Below are 18,842 nucleotides of genomic sequence, written 5' to 3'. Positions count from 1 at the left end.
AGGGCACAGGTTAAAGGGGGATTGATTCAACAAGTGTCCGGGGCCAGTTCATCCACAGCAAGTCTGCAGCAGAGAGGGAGTATGAAAGAAGCTTAAGCACATGGTTGTCCTCTGGGCAAGCATCTTAAAGGCCTGGATATCAAGAGTAGATCCTAAAATACGGAAAAGAGAACAATTAATGGGGTGCAGACAGGGCCAAGGGAAGCTATGGTGGGCCTAGTTTCTCACGACAAGACCAGACAAATTCTTGACCTTTGGTCCTGCCGCATCCCGCCAGCGTGGAACTGAAAGGCCCGGGCAAGGTTAGCAGCTGCTCCCATCCCTATCCCTGACACCTGAGAACAACAACCACCACGGGCTTCTCTGCTGCAAAGCTCCCTGGGGTAACATCTCCAGCTGGATGGCTGAGCAGATGGCTTTAGCTAGAAGATTCCAGAGAGGGGAGGAGCTAGGAACACTGAAGGGCCCTTTATAGCCTCGGTGGACATCCTCCTCTCTGGCCAGTGCCTGGGCTGCTGGGATTCTAAAATGTCTTTGAGAAAATTTGTCTTTTCAGAACCTGTATCTGACAGAGACTCTAGATAATCTGGGTACCTGTGGGGTTGCGTAATCACAATTGAAAAGTCTTTCAGAGATGGGACTGTTGTATAATTAGGCTGAGAGTTGGGCCCGGGGTAAAGTTAAGTACTGGTATGGATTTAGTGCTAATGGGCTCATTCCTTCTACTGGGCCGTCAAAGTTGAACAGTAGGGGAGAGGTAGCATTTGTCTACATGATAAAGTTTTTGCGGAAACCCTATCTGTTGAACTTGAACCTTGGGATCTGTACATAGTTACTTTTTCATGAAGCAGCTAATTCTCTTTAGCCGAATGGTTGAACAGTTGAGTGGGTCTGGCACTTGAAGCAGAGACATTTGGGTACAGCTCCTACTGAGGAGTATTTGTGAACACCTGGAAGCTAAGATGGTTTCTTGTCCACTTACATCTGGCCATGGTTTCTGTGGCTGTATCAATGACTTCAGATTGAGGGATCCTAGGCCAACAATTGGACAAACTCACTGCTGAGCCAAGAAAAGCAGGATGCTTCTGGATCAGAACCCAGGAATGTTTAGGGCTTTATTCTAAGAGGGAGAGTCTTCCTTGGATGCTGGGAGGGTTTTTTCAAGATTTACCTTCAACATCTGGTGCTTCCTGAAACGTCTGGTCATCAGAATTAGAATCTAGAATTATACCCTAGTACTTAACGACTTTCCACTAAAAGGAAAATCTTGGAATGTTTTCATGCCATCCTCAAAAAGCAAAAACATTGAAGAAATGTTCTATCAGAAATGCCCCTGGTTAAACTGAAGCAGAGTAACCAGAGAGAAAGAAGTGGACGAGACAGTCAGATTGTCTTCATTGAGACATTTCAAAAGCACAGGCCAATTTACAGGGTAGCATTGAACTCTTGAGCTATTACAAGTCTACGTGCATTTGTTTCCAGTCTCAAGTGTTCAAATTCTTCTCTGATGCCATCCTCTATAACCCAGCACAGAACTGAGGTGAATCTCTCTGCAAGCTCCTTGGCAAAAATCAACTTCTATACCAGATTAAAACCCCAGTTCTGGGTCATACCATCCAACTTCTAAACATTTCTGATTTACCTCTATTATATATTTTAATTTTTTTTATTTTTTAAATATAGGTAGAGACAAGTTCTCACTGTGTTGCTCAGGCTAGTCTCAAACTCCTGGGCTCAGGTAATCCTGCCTCAGCCTCCCAAAGTGCTGGCATTACAGGCATGAGCCCCTGCACCCAGCCTGCTTCTATGTATACTTTAAAAGAATGTGTATTTCTTGTTGTCCATAAGATCCCATTTGCTAGTTGTATTGTACAAATGTTCTATATTCTTGGTAATTTTTATGTTTGATCTATCATTTGAGAAGAATGATAGAAATTTGTGTATGAAATTTGTGTTGAAATTTGTGTATGCTAGTGTGGTCGTAACTCTTTTTGCAGTTTTTTCACATTTTACTTTGTACATTTTGAGGATGAGGCTGCTTACCTCTTGAGTTGTGGGCTTCCTCTTCATTTTTGACCCCTAGGAATTTATTTTTGCAAATTCAACTGTGTATTCAAGAAGAAACTTGCAATGTAGGAGTTTTTCAGGAGATTTAGTCTATTATGATTTACTTACTATATTCTTCTGTTCCTCAATTATAGAGAAAAGTAAGCTTTTCATGTCTCCTTTTTCTGGTTTGAATGACTGTCTTTCAAAGCAAGCTGCCTATCTAGGCAAGGCTCTTTGATAAAAAGAACTGAGGTTTCTTTTTACTTAGCACTCCACTGTTAGGGGTGAAGGGGGAGCCAAGGCACTGGGAGGGTTTGGGTCTAAGGCCAAGGACAAGAGAGTCCAGCACGTTGTCCCACTGTGCACTAGGCACAACCACCTGGGGTATACTGCTGCCTCAGCAGACCCAGTTTCTCTGAGATGCATTCCTCAGACATCACAAACCCCCCCTGAGGCACAGCCATCCTCATTGTCCCTATGCAGTATCAGAGTCCGAAGTAGCTAGCTCCAGGTTTCTCTGCACCTGTTCCCTGACCTTACCCCCAAGGCTCACTTTGCACTAGCATTTGGCTTCTGGCAGGCAGGAAGCTTGTTGCTTTCTTCTCTTCCAGGTGGCTCTAGGAAGGACCAGCAGAGGGAAGGGAGGTGGGAGAGGAGACCAAGAGGCAAAGCAGTCATTTGGAAGGTGCAGCCAGCAACCCCCAAGAAGGCACACATGCCTAGTATCACCCTGCACTCAGCAGGCTGACACTCTCCAGAGGTGGGGATGGAGCATGGGGATTCCCTGTGTGGAGGTATTCTACGATATGGAGCTCAAGGTGGTTGGGGCCATATAAACCTTGAATGTAATGAAAAAGGCTAGGCTTGAACTTTAATGTTTACAAAAATGCTTCCATGTATGTTACTCCTATTGAGCCTCACACTCAACTTTTAGAGATGGTATTATTGTTCTCCATGTAATGAGAGAAAACCAAGGCTCTGCATGCTGAACTGATTCAGCAGGTTTACGTGGTTAGGAGGTGGCCACACTTGCCATCCAATTCCAAATTGATTACTCCCTTTAAGTAGCTGATACTGGAAAAGGGGAAAGTGATAGAACTTCTGAAGCTGAAAAGACCTTGGAGATCCCAGTCTTCTTCCTTGACTTTACAGGTGAGAAGACATGTAAAAAGAGGTAAAAAGGAATTGCCCAAGCTCATACAAAAAGCTAAGAAATCCTCAAAGGATGGAGTTTAAGATATCTGTTTTCTATAACAGTTCAATTCAGTGAATGTAATTTTTTGTTTGTTTGTTTGTTTGTTTGTTTGTTTAATTATACTTTAAGTTTTAGGGTACATGTGCGATTCCTCAGGGATCTAGAACTAGAAATACCATTTGACCCAGCCATCCCATTACTGGGTATATACCCAAAGGACTATAAATCATGCTGCTATAAAGACACATGCACACGTATGTTTATTGCGGCATTATTCACAATAGCAAAGACTTGGAACCAACCCAAATGTCCAACAATGATAGACTGGATTAAGAAAATGTGGCACATATACACCATGGAATACTATGCAGCCATAAAAAATGATGAGTTCATGTCCTTTGTAGGGACAAGGATGAAATTGGAAATCATCATTCTCAGTAAACTATGGCAAGAACAAAAAACCAAACACCGCATATTCTCACTCATAGGTGGGAATTGAACAGTGAATGTAATTTTTATGAATGCTTATCACTTATGTGAGGAACCCACTCTGTGGTGGGATGACAGTCTACAGGAATAACCTAGCTGAATGGACAACTGCATTGGGAGAAAAGGATATGAGCTCCCTTTGTCATCTGATCTTCCTGGCTCAAAGTGACAGCACAGGTTGTCTCCTCTCTCATTTCCGTTGAGTTCCCATTAGAAGTCTGAGCTGCATCCCAGCTGCCCGCCTGCCATTGGGCAGATCCTTTTCTAATACAGATTTTCATCATTGATTCATCACCTAATGAGCACAGATGAACATGAGGTGCTAGGCGTTTACACAAATGATATCTCATTTAACACTTATTCACATTATCTCTGTTTCACATATAATGAAACTATGGCTCATGAAAGACCATGTAAGTTGCCCAAACTTTCAGTGCCAGAATCAGAATATAACACCAGGTTAGAATAATTCCAAAGCTAGGCCTCTGCCTACCATCATGCTTATATAGATGCTTCACCTGAAAGAGAAAAAGGAACCTCAGATTCTGAGCAGGGCTTGGGAAAGCTGGGCACAGCAAATAATTTGAACATACCATGGCAAAACTATTGCAATCGCTCTTGCCAAATTACTGTACCAAAAGTATTTCAAGATTTATCTTTTAGCCATAAGACACTCCTTAAAACATCTGATTAGAGTTGAATTATTTGCGTTACCAGCTCTCTAGACCCCTCATATCTTACTTTGCATTCATCTGTTTCTACATGGGTTTCTACAAAAAGTGAGAGATTCACTGTTGTTAAAGTTGAAGTGTTAGATTAACAGGAAGAGTGTACCACAATGGAGAGGAGCATGAGATTCAGAAGCCACCCGTCACCAAGAATTAATTTCCTTTAACCCCTCTTTGATTGCAGGCAACATTAAAAAGCACAGACTTTGGGTCAAGGAAGTGGCTCATGCCTGTAATCCCAGCACTCTGGGAGGCTGAAGTGGGAGGATCACATGAGCCCAGGAGTTCAAGACCAGCCCAGGCAACAAAGCGCAAGACCCCATCTCTACAAAAAATGCAAAAATTAGCCTGGGGTATGGTGGTGTGCACCTGAAGTCCCAGCCACTCGGGAGGCTGAGGTGGGAGGATTGCTTGAGCCCAGGAGGCCAAGGCTGCAGTGAGCTATGATTGCACTGCTCCACTCCAGCATGGGTGACAGAGTGAGATCCTGTCTCAAAAAAAAAAAATCATGGTGTTTGGAACCTTAGTATGTGAGTTCAAATCCTGCTTGCTTGCACCATTTACTAGCTGTGTGATTTCAGGCACATTAACTGTCTGAGCACGGGGAACGCAGTAGACCCATAAAAACACCTTGACAATACTGTAATTTCCCATCCAGCCTTCTCCAGGCAGACTTGTGCCAGTTCTCTAAAGCATCCTTATGGGTTCTAACTTATTCATCCTTTGGACTCAGTTCCCCAAGAAGGTCTGGCCTGAGCTGGCTGCAGCCATGAGAGGACATCCCTGGGCCTCCTGCCCACTGATGCTCATTTAGGCGTTATCATCCTGGCATTGCCTGCTTTTTGTCTCTGAAACCACAGCAGGCCAGTAAGAGAGGCTGACTGTTACCTTCAACAACCCCTAGGACTTTTCTGACTGTGCTCACCACACACACAACCAGCCTTTCCTATCCTGGTGTTGAGCAAGTTTCCCCTCCCTGTGTCCACTGCTGCACTTACTAAGCTGAACTTTGTTCTTTCCTGACCACCTCTCCTAGGGTAAGGCTCTTTCGGATTATCTCCTCCTAGATCAGGTCTCTCATGAACTCCAGTCAAGTGAGTACCAGACCCAGAACTCAAAGCTCTGGGATGAGGTTATGAGCTTAGAATGTCTAGGAACCTTACAGCTTTGTGTGTGTGCTTGGTGATGTGAGGATCAGACCTGCAAGGAGAGATCGTAGGTTAGTCTCACAAAGTGGTGAACCAAGCCTGCACATTCAATACAGAGGGAAGTGAATGATCTGAAGCTTGCAAAGAGGAAGCTCAGGATAACTCCTGCCAGCACAAATGAAATGAATGCCAATGCTCAGAAGGCCATTTCTACTATTGTTGAAAGGTTGACTGAGATGTTCCCTAAGACTCATTATCTATGATTTGTCTACTTTTAACATCCCACTTCCCCTCTGCCTTCTGAATTTGAGCATCAGCTTAATGTGCCGCCCTTGACCCATTGTATATTCGCAACTTCCCAACCTCCTTTTTTTGAATGTGGGGAGACTACCATAGGCAACCTCAGACCCCCCTTGCCCTTGGCCTAGTAGAGCTCTGACCTTGGAGTGCTTTTAGCCCAGTTAGGTTATAGAAATCTCCTCCTAAAACTGGTAAACAAGAGCAAGTTTCTGTCCATCTTCATTTCCGTAGGACTGCATCATCCTACCTGTCCGGTCAGCAGCCCTTATTTATTATTTTATCAAGTACCAGCTTTATAGCAAGCACTGTACTTGGTATGAGAGGACTATGAAAATCAATCAGTTTGATTCAACATAGAAGAAATGTCTCAGAAAGTATCCTAAATAAACATAATGCCTTGTGATCCCAGATGCCGTAAAACCCTGAGTGAAGAAAATAGAAATTGGTCATTGGGTCAGAAGTCTTTTCAACAGAATGACAGTGGCACTGTGAGACATGAGTCCATTGAACTAATGTTTTAAAGCATCCCCCTGAATTGTCCTCAGGGAAGATTCTGGACCTTTCAAACAATGTTAATAATAACCATCCTTCATCCTTCATACAGGTAGTAGAAGTTTACAAAGTGCTCTCATTCACATTTCTTTTGCTCCTCACAGTAGCTGTGAGAGGAAGCAGAGAAGCTATCATCTCTCCTTCGCAAATGAAAAGAACTAAGACTGAGACTTAAGGGGCAAAGCCTGGCAGAGACACAATAAAAAAAAGAGAATTTTAGACCAATAACTTACCCCTTAATATATTTATTGTCCAAAGCCAGAAGGAGGAGACAAAAGACTAAAACAGTATCTTCTGACTCATTATCCAGTATTTGTTTACTTTACCACACTACTGGCCTTCAGGTTGTGAATTTAACATCAGTTTAATGTGCAGCCAACCAAGAAAAAGTGTTAGTCACCTTTCATTTGAAAAGCTTGCGTGGATGGGCTTCATTTGATGCCAAAAATGTGTCTGACTTGAGATTGTCTTTGATAAGTTACAGATCCAAGACTAGATGTTTTGCTGGATTTTTGCTAAGATAATGCATTGTGGCCTGTCTTAGAGTCCTAAAGCAGCTGGAAGAGAATTTTGGAAAACATCTGACTCATCCCTTCCCCTCCTCCATGCAACTGAGAGGCAGGCAAATATCCTGTACCTTGCAGGCCCTTACATCCTCCTCTTTGCCCATCAAAACGCCCTCTTTCCCTTTGAAAGCATGGGCAAAGTGCTGCTGACATGATGGCACCTGGTGCCAACCTACAGGATGCCCTAATGCACCCTGGGAACGTAGGCTTCAGGCAGGGAAGTGAGACAGGTGGAAGCACACCCAACATGTAAAATCTTGCTTTGGTACCATGTTTAGGAGGCACCTTTGACTTGCAAAGATAAACTTGATGGAAGCAGCTTTGATGGAAGAGGTGGAAGTCTGAGGCAGGGATGGTGATTCCTGCAGTGCTTGGCCTCCTTAGTTTGTGGATATCAGAAGCTGAGAGGGGTTCAGCTTTTTTGTCCCAGGGCCAACCAGTTGGTACAATCTTTACCATGACTGGAATAGACCTGACCCAAGTTGAGGGCATTTCCCCCATCCTCCCACCTGTCTTCTTTGGTGTGGTTTGAGATTCAAGGAACTGGGGACTGATGTATCCTTTAAAATGATAGTCAAGTCTGGTAGGTGGTGGTGAGTCCTCCCAACCCTCACCCCATCTCTGTCTTTTCCAAAGAAACCCCAAACTTCTCCCTTCCATGGACAGGAAATCAGAGGAGTGGGTTGCCTTTTTATGGAAAGATTGATGGGTTCACAGCAAAACCCCTGGGTGAGGTGCCATGGTAAAGAACAGAAAGGGGGTTTAAGTGGCAGGTCTCTCCTTCTTTTGTGGGCTCTATACCTTTGATGTGCTTTTCCCCTCTTGCAGCTGAAGATTTTTTGCCTTGAGGAAAGTTAGTTTACACCTTGTTGCTGGAGAAAATAGCTGAGGTTTGAGAGATAAACAGCCACCCACTCCCTGTCTGTCAAGAGCTAGTACAGTTTAAGATGAATGGGGACCTCACTCTGCCCCCCTTTCCGCCCACCCTGTTACTCTCTGATCCTTCCTGCTCCATCATGAGGACAACAACCAACCTCTTTCTCCCCATCCCTGTCTCCCACCTTTGGACAGAGACAGATCAGAGTTGAGCTAATCCTTTCAAAAATATTTAATGTTCATATGCCTTCCTTGCATAGAAGCAGTTTAAGGGTTCCTGTGATTCTGGATTTAAATCTGTCTCTTTCATTTCCTACAAATGTATTGCCATCTGTTGATTTCATTCCTGTGACACCCACATCAAGATCATTCATAAGGAAAATCGGGCCCATTTCTAGACCACCCCCCCACCACCACTCCCCAGCCTTACTCACAGCTCTCCCCAGTCCAAATGCCTGAGCAGGGATCTGTGAAAACGCTAACACACACACAACAGACTGACAGGAAATTTAGAGTTTGGCGTTCATCTCCTAAATAATTGAAGTGGGCACCCACCAAGCCCTTCATCCCTGGGAACCCTGGTCACTGGAACCACATTAATTTGGGCCCAGGAGTTCTCTGGTGCCTTTTGTCAGCTATTTTGGATGCGTCATCATTACTTACGCCTTAATAAAACCACCCTCCTTTTTTATTGTCATCAGATGTGTTAGCAGTTTGTATCTCATCTATCTGTCCTTCAGCTCCTAAGGACATTCTGGAGGAGGGACATTCCCTCCCCATCCTGCCCCCAACCCTCACACACACTGTGGTTCATAGGGTTTGGGTAAAGACTAAAAGAGTTGCTCCATGCGAAGTGTTTGGCACAGGGGCTCACGTGGTTAAGGGCTCAATGTATTGTCAGTTATGGTGTTTTAGTATATGCAGTTCTGTTGTTTAACCTCTTGATCTTTCTCAGATCTCTGCTTCCCTCTCCACCCCACTTCCTTAGAGCAACCCTCACTGCCTCTCACCTTCATTACTGCCATGGCCTCCCATCAGGACCCTCTTCCTCCTGGTTCCACATGCTTCCCCTCCACCACCTGTCCTCTGCACCACAGCCCGAGTAGGCAACTCAGAATAGAAAGCTGATAATATCACCCTCTCCTATTTAAAAGCCTCCTAAGGTTCCCCATTCCCTTCAAGATGAAATTTACACGCCTTAGCAAGTAATGCCAAGCCTCTGTTGGCCTGACCTTTCCTAGATAGGGAACCAGAAACATCTCTGAAACATCTCTGGCCTGTCTTCATCTGCCAGTCTCTCCTTGGCACTAGGGCAGAGCTACACCACATGGCATGTAGCTCCCAGCCGTGATACCTCTAGACTTTTGAATATGCTGTTCCCCAGCCAGGCTTACCCTCTCCTCTCCTAGAAGACACCTGTGCATCTCCCCAGAGCCCTCCCTGGCACCCTTCCCCCAGTCTGAATTAGGCCTCTTCCCTGCCACTGTCCCAGCCTCTACTATATATTAATAGTTAATACATTTGCAAATATTTTATGTTTTAACTCATTTAATCCTCACAACAACCCTATATTGGGTACTGTCATTATTATGGCTACTTAAAGATGAGGAAATTGAGACATAGAGAAATTACCTAATTTGCCCAACATCTCACAGCTCCTAAGAGCTGAGATTTGAACCCAAATGATCTGGCTCCAGAGTCTACACTCATAACCACTGGGCTCTATGGCCTCTTACACTACTGTACCATTGACCAAACCATGGCCCTCTCTGGACTGAGCTCCCTGAACTAAGAAACCATGTGCTGCTCATGTTTGCACCCTGTGCCCTGACACAGGGCAAGAGCACAATTCCTTCTTAATTAACCCTTCAACCCATTCATCCTTCTAGGCCTGTGGTATTCAGTAGATTTAAGACTAGCCCACTTTTTACGACCCATTACCCGTACATCATTTCATTTAAAAAGTGCCTAGAGGGCCTTTTATGTGCTACAGTGGTAAGGGTAAGAGACTTAGAAGACAAGGTTCCACCCTTGAGGAACTTATAATTTGGTTGAAGAGATAAAGATTATACCCAAACCTGAAGTAATGAAAATGATTCCTCAAATCACAAACGAAACCAGTTTCTTTGTTTTGTGGTCAATCCTCAAATAAAAATAGTCTTCCTCTTTTCCCACTTAGACCTCAAGATCCTTGAGGGGAGGAATCCCATTGTGCACCATACATATGTCAATGCCCAGTGCTCAGTAAGTGCTGGTGCTAATGCACCACTGACTCTGTCTGTGGACTTCAGGCTTCTGCTGCTGCCCCGTGTCCTAGCCTCAGCTGTGCAGTCTTCCCAGGCCTGGGTGGTAGCTGTCACCCAGAAGACTTAGGGCACAGGGAGAGTCTGGGAGAGTCTAGGTTGGAAGTAGATTTTTGGGTGCAGAGTCTCAAGCTGCAATAGACCCTAGTGGTTCAAGACACTAGAACCTCCTTTAAGTGCAGTCTAACCCTCCACTCCCCAATAATGGTTTTCCATTGCATAATGTCCCCTAGTGACCTGCCTGGGTATAGCTCTCCACAAGGCAGCTGTCCCTTCCATGCAGACTGTCCCAAGTCAGAGCAGGGCTGGTCACCATGCCACTCACCTTCACAGCCAGTCTGATCATTGAGGAGCTGTGCTCAGGGCAAGGACACCTGGGACCTCTCACAGGTGGCATGCCCTTCCAAGACCAGGAGAGAACACCACAACTTTGCAGGACCAGCATCTCTCAGCCTGCCTCCTCCCTTTCTCCATATCAATATGATATGGATGAGTACTCATCCAGCATTGGATGATATGGATGAATGGTCATCCATCCCAGAGCACTGTCCCTACTCCAGTTCCAGGGCACTCTTAGTCTGTTCTTGGCACATACAGCTTTGCATCTGTCAGTGTCCATGCAAAAGCCAACACAAGCTGTGATGGACTGTGCATTGGGTAGCCACCAGAGGTAACTGCCACTTATCTATCAGTCAGCCTTTGACAGGCCTCACATAGATACGTACCTCCCATCACCTCCAAGCTGGAATACACTTTACTCATCTGTAAAATGGGTATGAACATGCCTCCTTTGCAGAGCTTTTTTGAAGATTCTGCATTTACTAGTTTAACAACTGTTCAGTACCTATTATGGGCCTAGCTACCGGCACATAGTAAACACTCAGTTACAATAGCTTTAAGAAAATCTGTCTTAGACAAAGGAGTTTCAAAACTATGTGAAGAATATACAAGAAGTAGTAGTCCAAACTGTTTTTTCAGTTGTTTAATGATCTCTATGATAAAGATGTTCAGGGAGAGGAATATCTTGCGTGATAACTGGAGTAAAACCCACTTAGATTTCTATGTCCCCAAACCTCTGGTGTGGTCAGGGTTGGCACCTGCCCTCTCAACCATTTGTCTCACTGTACATGCATCTTGTCTATGTCTTCCACTAGAGACCATGAGGGCAGAGATCAGACCTATGTACGTTGCACATTGCTGTCCCCAGTACCTAGCACAGCACCTTGCCCCAGTACGCACTTCATATATATTTCCTGGACTACGGCAGGTGAGCCCTTTGTGAGGGTTCCACCTGCCCACTGGCCTGGCCTTTAATGTCAGGGGAGCATTTCTGATATATTAATGCCCCTCTAATTGTGCTGCATTCGTTTACATAGGCAGTGCAGCAGCCTGGCTTTGGTGTTTAAAGACCGGATTGCAGTCAAAGCTCTGCTGTTTGCTGGCTATGAACTCCAAGTAAGTTGCCAGGTTCCTCTGAGCACTAATGATAATATTACCTGCCTCACAGGGTTGTTTTGAGAGCAGCTTCTGCTGCTGCCCCATGCCCCAGAATTATGGAAAACCATTTTGTAAACTTCAAGTCACTTCCTCTCCATAGTACAGATCAATGGTAGACCAGTGATCAGGGAGGATACAAATCATACCCCCAAAAAAGGCTTCTTTGTTGTATTTTGCCTCAAGTGTTTTCTTAGAGAACCTCAACAAACCACACTATTTTCTAGTAATCAGCCACTTATCCCACCATTTGCAGTAAGGAAAACTGAGGCACGCCTTGATGGCTTATTCAGCATCAGCAGCCTCACAAAAGACAGAAGTCTCCTTTGGATTAGCTTTATCATCTTTCCCTTAAGCAGAGATGATGGTGCCTTTCTCGCTGCTCTGGCTCAGTTAAGAAGTCAAGTCTGATTTATTGGTCATCCTAACTATCGTTTCCTGAAGGCCCGAAGCCCTGTAATGCTGTTGTCTGGCTTCCCAGATTTATGACCATGGTTTCTGGCCCCCAACAATATCTGGAGTTCGGTTTACATATTCACTTCCACCATCCAATCCAAATCCTCCCAGGCAGCAATCAAGCTGGGGCTGATTCCTCATCCATTTGTGGGCTCACTTTTTCTGGCAAGTCAGCCTTCATTCTCCAGGACGCTTAGAAGCCGCATGTTGGCGGTGGATTGTGCTACGGGAAAGAGTGAATGTGTAGCCTGCACATTTGAAGCCTTGCTGGGGTAGAGAGCAACGCTACTGCTCCTGGAATGTCCAGGCCACTGTTAGAAAGGCCATCTTATTCCTTAGAAGAGTCTAGCCCTGCTGCAGGCTTCAGAAACGTGTGCTCTAAGCTCGTTCCTGCTCATTTGAAGCAGTCTTCTGAAAAGGTCTGCAGAAACCTGCCTTTACCCTCTCCCTCATCCTGCGTGGCCTTTGTCACATCCTTCCTCCAAGGTTCCTCTGGTGGTGGTAGTAGGGAGGCTGCCACCTGGCTTTGCATGTGGGAAAGCCCAGCCTCTTCCCTCCAACCTCACAGCAGGACAGCCAAACTTGGATTTTTTCATGAGGAAGCAACTCTTATGAGCTCTCTGGTTCAGCTCTCTGGTTAAAAGACCATACTGTGCTGTTTCTGGGGCAGCACAGACCTGGTTGATCGTGTCCACAGGAAGAACAGCCTTTGGGATTCATTAGTCTGGTTAAGACCAGCCCTGCAGCCTCCTCTGCCAGCTATAGAACTATGTGTTAGAGTTGGTGCTGAAGCCAGTCACAAACCCATCCCAGATGCGTGTGGTCTTGTTGATGTTCAAATGCCACCTCCTCCTCCAGGAAGACTTCACCACCTCCCCAAGGCTGCCTTATGGGCTCCTTCTCTGTTCCCTCTCGACTCTGCCCCTCTATCACTATGGCCATTTTATAGAATTTTAATTATTGTCTCGGGTGTCTCCACTAGACTGTAAGTATCAAGTGTGTAGAGACTTTTGTTTCAACTCTGTATCCCCAAAATTCAGCATAGTTCATAGCACATACAGTACTCTCAATGCCTGTTGAATGAATAAAGAGTCTGCTTGCATGTAAAACTACAGTGGTTTGGTCTTGGAGACACTTGTTTTGGAATTCTTCTACTGATAGGGACAGCATCAAGATGATGGGAAATGTATTGGTCTGGGATTTGTTTTGCCTACAAAGTTTCTTATGTTGGCTCATCTCCAACTAGATAAAACCCTGAGTCTAGGCTTCCCCTTCTAACAAAGCTGCTATACCTTTATGGACCTCCATTTTCCTGTCTGTAAAATGAGAGTGTGGGCTAGCTAGAAAAATTTCTGGTGTCCCCCTTGCTGCTTTGTAATTCTGGAGTACGTTCGGAGAACACCCCAATGTGACAAAGGATCTGGAAATTCTTCATAAAATATTCAGGGAGGGAGACAACTCAGGGAACATGACAACTGTCTGGAATTATTTGAGGGGTTGTCATGTAGAAGATGAAAAGGATTAGATTATCTTGAAAGGCCCCACAGGTTATAAATAAGACCAATTATTAATTCATTCAACAAATATTTGAGTACCTGCCATGTGCAAGGCACTATTCTAAGCAATAATGATGCAGTAATGAATACAACAGACAAAAATCTTGTTGCCTTTATGGAGTTGACATTCTAGTGAACAGAAACAATTCAAAAACAAACACAATGGAGAGGAGCTTCTTGGACCCTCAAAACGAGCTGCCTGTGAACTATTGAGCTCTTTGTGTTCAGGAATACGTTTAGTACTTAGAAATCTGCTTCCAGTGGCTGCTTAGACTAAATGACCTTGTTAGGTTTTTTTAGCCCAGCAATCCCATGAATCTAAGGCTAGCGAAGATGTGTGATCTCTTTATTCTAACACCACTAAGCCAAATCATGACCTCCTCTCAATGGTAACTGTCACTCTAAAAAGAGAGATAAGGTAGATGCAGTGGGCTGTTCTTATGAAAAGGCACCTAAAAAATAGTACTTTAGAAACATGCATTGTGGTGGGGGTCTGGGTGGAGGGGTTGCTTTTTCTTGAGATCCCTGTGATATTGAGGATGAAGAAAGAGAAACACAGGGGGTGGGCAACTTCCTTGAAGGACCAGAGAGAGTGAGTCATGAGGAAGAGAAGGAGGAGACAGAGAACAGGAGAGTTGGGGATGAAGCCTTTGATGAGGGGAGTGAGGAGGGGCAGAAGTAGGAGACAGACATGAGGAAACCACCAACTGAAGTCCCAGAAACCCAGCCTCCGTCCCCTCTAGGTCCTACTGCCGTCATCCTCTTTCTGTAAAGGTGAGAGTCTAGGTGCAGTGTCCCAGGTTCCAAACACAAGTTCATACTCATTGACTAGTGGGATGCCCACTGTGAGAGCAGGAAGGAGGGCTAGAGAGATCTAAGAGGGCAGAAGCCCTGCCCTGCCAGTATTTTTTGCCTCCAGCCACCTGCTCTGTTCTGAGACATGCCTGAGACCAGCTGCCTACAGGGGGACCAGGGTCTGTTTCTGCTGTTAACCTTGGTTCCCTCCTGCATTCCTGCATGTGGGGATGTAGACAGGAAGCCTGCAGGTATGGAGCAATTGAAGCAGAGTCTAGATAGAGCCCAGACTCCTTACTTCCCATAGTACTATTCTGCATTTTGTAGTGCTGCTTATGCTTTTCAGTGTTTCCACATCTATTTACTAATAACATCATAGTACAACAGCAAGAACATGGCCTCAGAACTCAAAGTTCTGGAATTCTAATATTTTATTTGATTGTCAGTATTTCTGTGAGATAGATAAAATAGGAATTATTTCCTCTGATCTGCAGGTGAGGAAACTCAGTCACAGGGAGCACATTTATCCATACTTGTGGAGCTATAGTATAACTAGTATTAGGACAAGGATAGCCAACATAGTTAAAAAAAAAAAAAGTACTGGACTTACAGTCAAGAATCCTGGGTTCACATATCAGCTACTGTCCTGCTATGTAACTTAGAATACATCTGTTTTCTGATGCTTAATTTTATTATCTATAAAATAAATAGGTTGGACTAGAAAAAGAAAATATGGCGGATGGTGGACATCTTTAGTCCTTTCAGTCCTTTGCATGCCTGTGGCAGACATGGCTAATTGATCATAGCTCACTGTCCTGCTGAGCCAGATGCAGCCCAGAGTCCTCAGTACAGGGCTCCTGGGAGCCAGCAACCACTGCTGAAAATCAGGGTTAGCACATAAAAGGAAATTGCTTGCCATTCCTCAACTAGCTCTCCAAGTTTTTTTCCAGTCTAGCATTCTGGGCATAGAAAACTGGTCTCCTCCCTTCCAACCTCATGCTCTCTACATCACGTCATCCTGGAACACTCCTTTTCTATAGATCTGTAGGAAAAGTAAAGGACTAAAATAAGATCTAGGTTCAGGCCCCTTCTCTTTCCATTAGGAGCTTAGTATCCTCACAGAATGTAATAACACCTACCTCACATGATAGTTATGAGCCATACGAGTGCATTCAGTTAGCAGACGTCAGTGCTTGACAACTGTGTGCCAGGCATTATGCTAACACACAGCAACTTGAGCTCCCCATCAGGCATCTTCTAGACCCTCTTCCCTCTCAGGAACTGAGCAGGAGCCTAGACTATTGACCATCCAGGCAAGCTGTGTTGCTGCAACTGCTCTAAATCAGAGTCACCGGCCCAGTTAGGGGCAAGGTAGCCTGGAGCCTCAGGTAGAGGTGGATTTTTTCATCTCATAACGTTGCCTTCCAGGAGTTCATTGCTTTTTCTTTTTGGTAGATCATCCTGTTTCCATTTACTTGTTCATCTGCTCTTTGGTGCCTTTATTTTTTTGCCATTACTTATCGGTAAAGTTATGCTGTTGTAAAGAGGGGAAGAGGAAGGGGTCCTGGTTCATAATAACACTGGAATGAGAGTTGGCAGAGACAGCAGCAGCTGTGAGGGCAGAGAGATAAGGCATCTGGAGATGGCTGCTCTGTTACCTACGTCACTGATCCGCTCATGGGGGCCAGCACACAGCTAGAAGTCAGCTTCCCCAACCCTCACACCCTGTCCCTGCAGGCTCAGGCTTTCCATCACCCAGGCTCTGTGAAGATTAGTGTGTCATCTTTAAAGCACTTGGCACTTCTTGGAAAAAGCCATGCTGTGAATTCAGGCATGGCTAAAAGATTGAACTCTTATTAAATCTCTGACACCCTCCATGCATCAGAATTCATACAGTCTTGTTCTGTTACATCCTCAGTGTCCTTTGCTAGTTCCCAGCTGGTCCCACAGACAAGCAAATTACTGGCAGGTTTGTTTAAGACACTGTACTTAGCCCACCTAGAATACTCATGAGTGACAAGTCCCCTTTAAAAGAACTGTTTGAAAAAAGTTAGCATTGAGGCTTGCAATGTTCCTTCTGCTTCATGTTGAGAATGCAGGAACCCCTGGGGATATTCTAGGTCTTAGGAGACTAGATCTCTTGTTAATATGTCAAAAACCAACTTCTGGAAAATAAGTCTGGTCTGTACTGATTCTAAAATACCTTGGATTGTTAACTTTTGCACCATCTTTGCAGAACACACACAGAATGTGACTATTCAGAGGAAGAAAAATTCTTTCGGCATAGACCTCCCTTCCGTAGTTGACAAAGTCATGGTGTTGAGTTAAAAGTGCTATGGCTGCTCCTGTGTTGTTTGGGGCAGGTAGTCCAGAACCCTGAGACCATGGTGGAAACAGCTCCATTTGGAATTCTCTCTAGTTTGGTTCTTTCTCCTTTTCCCCACCTGCAAAAGAATACTCAGAGTGCTATCTATCTATGTCCTTTCTTTGAATCTTTAAGGAGAATGTCTTCACCCAACATGTCTCATGCTACTGGACTGAGTAGAAGAGCAATGGAATCTTGTTACTTATTGCTAGTGAAACAGACAAGGAGCAATACATGATACACGCTTTCATTGTAAATCCTGATGTGGAAGGATTCAGGTAGTGCGATGTGAATCATCATCAGGATGATGCTTCCTGCTATGCCATCTCCCAGCTTTAGCTTTAGATGCTGGAGTTGGTTAACCATTACCAATGTACCCTTTGTCCAAAGAGGAATTGTTCTCAGAGTTTTGGACTTTGAAAACAAAAGAATGTGCTTTCAAGATGTCATTGCTGTTATACTTTATAGTTTATACATTCCTGCCCACTGGTCTTGCTTTTTTTCACTTTTTCTTCTGAGGCAGTTATAAGCCGTGTTGATACAGCTGTTTAGAGAAAATTCCTATGGAAGTAGTTCTAGCTGGAAGTCATCTGGGGAAAATTAACCTCTGTAGGTGGACTGAACTTTTTCAGGGAACGTGTAGGGACCTCACAATTGACCTAATTAATGTGTTTGCATAGTAACATACCTGTTTTCATTGTACATTTAATTAGCTTCTTTAAAAATAATTCTTCAGGTGAAAGATGTTAAAGGCTTCTCATCCTGCCCTGCTGAGCAGAGCCAAAGAGCTTGATAGTTTTAGGACAAATAAAAGGAAGCAGTACTTTACGCTGTAGGTAGTAAATGTGTGAAAATCATTACTCCTAGAAACAGTATGTGTTGAAATTATCAATAGATTCTAGACACGAACCTTTAGAGAGCATCATGGATGACAGATATAAATTGAGTTATTAAAGGGACATTAGAGAGCATTTTCTAATCGTTTTAAGTTATCGTTACGAATGGATCCCCCATATTCTCCGGTGAGCCTTGTGACACCACAATCAGGAACAGAATGTTAGGTGGATGAATGCTGGTCTGACCTACTGAGGTATTATTAAATTCATATGCTCCAGTCAAAATTTTTAAGCCAGTTTAACCTTTTTACCTATTTATGCTCCAGTCTTTTTAGGTCAGTTTAACCTTATACTTATTATTATTATTATTATTATTATTACTACTTTAATGTTCTGGTGTCTTTCAAATGGCCACTTCTTCAGAACTCTCTCAAATGATTTGGAAAAGCTAGGGGGTACTCAGCCCAACCATAAGATGGGAAACCTGAGCTGCAGTCCTGCCTCTGCCACTAGCTAGTTGCTTGACTAGGGGCAACACTGCACTTCTGCTTCATTTTTCTGCAAAGAAAGGGAGTTGGATTAAATGCCTTCCAAGGCCCCATTGGCAGCAAAATACTGTGGATCAGTAAATAAATATTATATGCACACTCATTCAGGGAGTCCCTAGAATAAAAGAATAGTGGGGTCGGGGGTGGGATGGGGGACTGCTTTGCCTTATTTTCCAAAAAGGATAAAGTAGAGCATTTCTCCCTTCTGACAGGAGAAACTGAATGTTGTAGGGACAGTGCAGAAAAACCCCTGACAGCATGGGGAAACCCCCCAAACTTTCTTTTCTCTGAACCTGAGGAGGGAGGTAGTGGGGAGAACATACGGTGGGAGTTAGGCAGGTCTGGGCTCAGTCACTCACTGACTCTCAGTCTCCCGTTGGTAAAATGGAGGTAAGTACATGTAACCTTTGGGGTGATGAGGATGAAATGAGACAAGTGGCATGAAGTTATCTCACTTAGTTCCTCGTATAAAGTAAGGGCTCAATAAATAATAATGTTTAGAGAAAGGAGATGGGAGTTCCAAAACACGGCAATTATAATGGTAAGCACCTCGCGAGTGGCCATCAGAGAAGGAGAAGCCAGTGCA

General features: G+C 44.3%; 1 protein-coding gene across 4 annotated transcripts in view, besides 2 other annotated features; it reads left to right on the top strand.

The window, feature by feature from the left end:
- Positions 1–18,842, top strand: part of FAM78B (family with sequence similarity 78 member B) — a 111,084-nt gene that overhangs the window by 14,397 nt on the left and 77,845 nt on the right. The gene's annotated exons all lie outside the window — the stretch shown is intronic.
- Positions 2,384–2,553: an enhancer, noted in NCBI's record as "experimental_978 CRE fragment used in MPRA reporter constructs". NCBI's record gives its function as "activates a minimal promoter by MPRAs in K562 erythroleukemia cells, with activity observed for the introgressed 1:166119374 variant allele {active_cell/tissue: K562}" and the evidence as "EXISTENCE:reporter gene assay evidence [ECO:0000049][PMID:34662402]".
- Positions 14,494–14,663: an enhancer, noted in NCBI's record as "experimental_966 CRE fragment used in MPRA reporter constructs". NCBI's record gives its function as "activates a minimal promoter by MPRAs in K562 erythroleukemia cells, with activity observed for both the introgressed and non-introgressed 1:166107264 variant alleles {active_cell/tissue: K562}" and the evidence as "EXISTENCE:reporter gene assay evidence [ECO:0000049][PMID:34662402]".

The sequence above is a fragment of the Homo sapiens genome, chromosome 1 (assembly GCF_000001405.40).
Source record: "Homo sapiens chromosome 1, GRCh38.p14 Primary Assembly".
In the NCBI taxonomy this organism is placed as follows: Eukaryota; Metazoa; Chordata; class Mammalia; order Primates; family Hominidae; genus Homo; species Homo sapiens.
Note: the sequence above shows the minus strand (reverse complement) of the source record. Positions and strands in the feature narration are given on the sequence as shown.